Source organism: Homo sapiens, chromosome 1 (genome assembly GCF_000001405.40).
Source record: "Homo sapiens chromosome 1, GRCh38.p14 Primary Assembly".
In the NCBI taxonomy this organism is placed as follows: Eukaryota; Metazoa; Chordata; class Mammalia; order Primates; family Hominidae; genus Homo; species Homo sapiens.
This window is the reverse complement of record NC_000001.11, coordinates 13,162,525-13,168,010: the sequence shown is the minus strand read 5'-3', so window position 1 is coordinate 13,168,010 and position 5,486 is coordinate 13,162,525. Positions and strand designations below refer to the sequence as shown.

The 5,486-nt window shown below is 43.9% G+C and overlaps 1 protein-coding gene across 1 annotated transcript; it reads left to right on the top strand.

Annotated features, from left to right (window-relative positions):
• The first annotated feature begins 2,379 nt into the window (after positions 1-2,379).
• HNRNPCL4 (heterogeneous nuclear ribonucleoprotein C like 4) lies at positions 2,380-4,097 on the top strand. The gene has a single exon (NM_001302551.2). It carries the CDS (start codon positions 2,544-2,546, stop codon positions 3,423-3,425), a length of 882 nt encoding a protein of 293 aa, NP_001289480.1. The 5' UTR covers positions 2,380-2,543; the 3' UTR covers positions 3,426-4,097.
• The last annotated feature ends 1,389 nt before the right edge of the window (positions 4,098-5,486 follow it).

Here is a 5,486-nt window from a genome sequence, read left to right as displayed (position 1 = left end):
GACAGAGCGAGACTCCGTCTCAAAACAAACAAACACAAACGAACAAACAAACAAAGAAAAAAGCTGGAAAAATAAATTCTGAAAGAATTTCCATCTCTATGAATTCATCTTCAGAAGTGATAGCATTTCCTGCTTGGCATTTTTTGCCTACATTTTTGGCATAAGATCTATCAACAAAAAGTATGAACCCAGGTTTGTGTAATGGAATATCTTAAACGTCAATAGGAGGAGTCAATAGTTCTGATGCCACACACACACACGTATGGTCTTCTCCATCATCAGAAAATGGCAACAAAGTGGTAGAGTTATGCAGAGTGTAGCATTTGAAATGGAGATTTGAAGGTGACAAGGAAAGGATTTTGTAAGACATTAGTGTACAAGTTGAGCAATGTTGGTTCCTGTCACAATATTTTTATTGATTTATTTATTTTATTCATTTATTTTTTGAGATGGAGTCTCGCTCCGTCACCAGGCTGGAATGCAGTGGCACGATCTCAGCTCACTTCGACCTCTGCCTCCCCGGTTCAAGCAATTTTCCTGCCTTAGCCTCCTAAATAGCCGGGACTACAGGTGCATGCCACTACACCTGGCTAATTTTTTGTATTTTTAGTAAAGACGGGGTTTCACCATGTTAACTAGGATGGTCTCAATCTCCTGACTTCGTGGTCTGCCCGCCTCGGCCTCCCAAAGTGCTGGGATTACAGGCCTCAGCCACCATGCCTGGTCGGTTCACATCAAAATTTAAGAGGTATTCAATTGCATATGAAATTTGTAGGCAAAGTTTATTTCTTTTTTCTTTAAAGCATTAATTAATTTATTTATTTATAATGTATTTATTTATTAATTTTTTTTTGAGATGGAGTTTCACTCTTGCTTTCCAGGCTGGAGTGCAATGGTGCGATCTCGCCTCACTGCAACCTCTGCCTCCCGGTTCAAGTGATTCTCCTGCCTCAGTCTCCCAGTTAGCTGGAATTACAGGCACAGGCCACCACACACAACTAGTTTTTGTATTTTTAGTAGAGACAGAGTTTCACCATGTTGCCCAGGCTGGTCTGGAACTCCTGACCACAGGTGATGCACCCACCTCGGCCTCTGAAAGTGCTGAGATTACAGGCGTGAACCACCGTGCCCGGCCTAAACTCATCACTTTTAATACTTTCTACATCACATGAGGAAGAAGAGCAGAAACACTTGAGTACTTCATGAAGGTCAAGGTTGGTATGAGTTTGGGTTCTAATATGATCAATTTCTGCTTCTAGGGAACCAAGCAGTTCAGGTTAAGGAAGGTCAGGAAGCTATTTTAACTATAAAGCATTTTTAAAATATTGATGTGGCCAAAGATCTCCCAACAACACTATTCTCAGGTTTTATTTTTCTGTCTAATGTCCAGAACAGATCAACCCCTTCCCTGCCTCACACCCAGGGCTATGAAGGTGACATATCAGTAAAATTCCATCAGTGCTTGTGGAGTTCGTGAATGAAGGCATTCTGTTGTTGTTGTTGTTGTTGTTGTTGTTGTTGACAGAGTCTCCCTCTGTCACCCAGTCTGGAGGGCAGTGTGCAATCTCGGTTCACTGCAACCTCAGCCTCCTGGGTTCAAGCAATTCTCCCACCTCAGCCTCCCAAGTATCCGGATTACAGGCAGCCGCCATCATGCCCGGCTAATTTTGTATTTTTGTAGAGACAGGGTTTCACCATATTGGTCAAGCTTGTCTTGAACTCCTGACCTCAGGTGATCCGCCTGTCTTGGCCTCCCAAAGTGCTGGGATTACAGGCATGAGCCAACTCAGCTGGCCTTAAATGAATGAATTCTTGATTTCCACTCTATCCCTAATGCTGTCAATTTCTTGATTCATGAAATGAATATGGGTATGTGATATGAATGGATATTTGGTTCAATCCATTAATCTGGGGAAAGCCAAAAACCCAATCAGGATTAGCTGGGTGGAACTTCAGAAATGCAATGAGATATTGCTTTTTGATTGGAAGCTAGCAGTGCATACGTGGAAGGGCGTGGGTGGGAGTTGTGATTAGAAAGGTCAATAAAAGCTTCTAAAGACCCACAGGAGAGACCCAAAGTCTTCAAGCCTGGAGTTCCTGCTTGGTTCTTCCTGAGGTCTGAACACCCTGCAAACTGAGCCCAGATCTGGTAAGTCACTAATTTCTGTAAGGACACTCCCATGGGACCTACAGTCAGCCGATGTAGCATGGTGACAGTGCAGCCTACGACAGAGCAGAGCTATATCCTGTCTTTTTTTTCTTTTTTTCATATGAACACTTTGAAGCTTTGATTTTTTTTTCTAAATGCAGTTTTGTCTTTATTTCAAAAATGTTGATTGTGCTTTTCTTTACGTCATTTCAGAATTCTTGTTGGGAGCCATTTTGTGAAGAGACGAAGACTGAGCTGGTTTGGCTGCATTTCTGGCCTCGAGCCGCAGTCAGCTTCTCCACGTAGAACCCGGCAGTAGGAGACTTAGAATCGAATCTCTTCTCCCTCCCGCCTCCTGTTTTTGGCTTTTTGAGAAACCTTATCATCCAACACAATGGCCAGCAACGTTACCAACAAGATGGATCCTCACTCCATGAACTCCCGTGTGTTCATTGGGAATCTCAACACTCTTGTTGTCAAGAAATCGGATGTGGAGGCGATCTTTTCCAAGTATGGCAAAATTGCGGGCTGCTCTGTTCATAAGGGCTTTGCCTTCGTTCAATATGATAAGGAGAAAAATGCCCGGGCTGCTGTAGCAGGAGAGGATGGCAGAATGATTGCTAGCCAGGTTGTAGATATTAACCTGGCTGCAGAGCCAAAAGTGAACCGAGGAAACGCAGGTGTGAAACGATCAGCAGCAGAGATGTACGGCTCCTCTTTTGACTTGGACTATAACCTGCAACGGGATTATTATGGTGGGATGTACAGTTTCCCAGCACGTGTACCTCCTCCTCCTCCCATTGCTCTGGCTGTAGTGCCCTCGAAACGCCAGCGCATATCAGGAAACACCTCACGAAGGGGCAAAAGTGGCTTCAATTCTAAGAGTGGAAAGCGGGGATCTTCCAAGTCTGGAAAGCTGAAAGGAGATGACCTTCAGGCCATTAAGCAGGAGTTGACCCAGATAAAACAGAAAGTGGATTCTCTCCTGGAAAACCTGGAAAAAATTGAAAAGGAACATTGCAAGCAAGGAGTAGAGGTAAAGAATGCTAAGTCTGAAGAGGAGCAGACCAGCAGCTCCTCGAAGAAGGATAAGACTCACGTGAAGATGGAGTCTGAGGGGGGTGCAGATGACTCTGTTGAGGAGGGGGACCTACTGTGTGATGATGATAATGAAGATCAGGGGGACAACCAGCTGGAGTTGATCAAGGATGATGAAAAAGGGGCTGAGGAAGGAGAGGATGACAGAGACAGGGCGAATGGCCAGGATGACTCTTAAGCACATAGTGGGGTTGAGAAATCTTATCCCATTGTTTCTTTACCTAGGTGCTTGTCTAACATCAAATTTTTCACCAGATCCTCTCCCTTAGCATCTTCAGCACATGCTTACTGTTCTCCCCATCCTTGTCCTTCCCACATTCATTAATTCATATTGCCCTGCACCTAGTTCCATTTTCACTTCCCTTGATGCTCCTAGAAGTTTTCTTAAGTCTTACCCTGCAATTTTTGCTTTTAATTTAGATACCTCCTTATGACTTAACAGTAAAAAGGATGTATGGTTTTTATCAACTGTCTCCAAAATAATCTCTTGTTATGCAGGGAATACAGTTCTTTTCATTTATACATAAGTTCAATAGTTGCTTCCCTAACTGCAAAGGCAATCTCATTGAGTTGAGTAGCTCCTGAAAGCAGCTTGGAGTTAGAAGTATGTGTGTTACACCCCATGTCAGTGTGCTGTGTGGGGCAGTTCAACAAAAATCTAACAATGTATTTTTGTGAATGAGAGTTGGCATGTCAAATGCATCCTCAGAAAAATAATTAGTGTTATACTCTTAAAATGTGTTTTCTAAAGTTGATACTGTGGGTTATTTTTGTGAACAGCTCCATGTTTGGGACCTTTTTTCCTCAAAATAAACAAGTCCTTATTAAACCAGGAATTTAAAGAAAAAAATTCTTGGTGGGAGCAGTGACTCATGCCTACAATTCCAACACTTTGGGAGGCCAAGGCAGGAGGATCATTTGAGCCCAGGGGCTCGAGACCAACCTGGGCAACATGGCAAAACCCTATCTCTACAAAACATTTGTTTTGAGGGGTGGGGATGGTATCTGGCTCTGTTACCCAGGCTGGAGTGCAGTGGCATGATCTCAACTCACTCCAACCTCTGCCTCCCAGGCTCAAGCGATTCTCATGCCTCAGCCTCCTGAGTAGCTGCGATTATAGCCACCCGCCACCATGCCTGGCTAATTTTTATATTTTTGGTAGAAACAGGGTTTCACCATGTTGGCCAGGCTGGTCTTGAACTCCTAACCTCAAGTGATCCACCTGCCTTGGCCTCCCAATGTGCTGGGATTACACCAGTGAGCCACCAACGCCCTGCTTCTTTTTTAAAAAATTAGCCGGGCATGGTGGCATGGATCTGTAGTCCCAGCTACTTGGGTGGCTGAGGTGGGAGAATCCCTTGAGCTCAGAAGATTGAGGCTGCAGTGAGCCATGTTCACACCACTGCTGTACTCCAGCCTGGGCAACAGAGTGAGACCTTGTCAAAAAAAAAAATCTTAACCAAACAGTTTTTTAAGAAAACCAATTAATTGTAATCAGTAGGCAGATCCCAAATTCCCCAAAAAAAGAAGAGAAAGAGAGTTTAGAAGGCTCTACGTGCTAGCATCCCATTCAGACTGTTTAATCCTACAATTGTGGTTTTGTAAGAAAAACAGTCTTAAAGATTTCCAATAATTCCCACAATGGCCATAAATTATCCTGGGTGTCATTTTCCCATCAATTTAAAAAGGCACATGAGAGGCCGAGTGCAGTGGCTCAGGCCTGTATTCCCAGCACTTTGGGAGGCTGAGGCGGGTGGATCAGCTGAGGTCAGGAGTTCAAGACAAGCCTGGCCAACATGGAGAAACTCCATTCCTACTAAAAATACAAAAAAGAGCCAGGCGTGGTGGCGGGCACCTGTAATCCCAGGTACTCAGGAGGCCGAGGCAGGAGAGGCACTTGAACCCAAGAGGTAGAGGTTGCAGTGAGCCGAGATCATGCCATTGCACTCCAGCCTGGCCACAGAGCCAGACACTATCTCCAAAAATAATAATAATTATTATAACAGCATGTCTATTCTCTCCAAAGTGTCTGGGACTGGACAATTAATTGTGAGGTCCTCTTCTGTAGCACCATACGCTATAACATATATGTGGATTTAAATAAATACACATACAAAATGCAAGTATATAGTCTATATGCTTTCCATATACTTATGTTCCATGAGGTCACAAGCAAATTCAAGGCTAGGTCAAAGAGTAGAGTGGCTGTCTATGGAAAGGAGAGTGGAAGTGAATCATG

Excerpts from the sequence above, each read along its gene's own strand:
- HNRNPCL4 (NM_001302551.2), top strand. The coding sequence starts at position 2,544 with ATGGCCAGCAACGTTACCAACAAGATGGATCCTCACTCCATGAACTCC.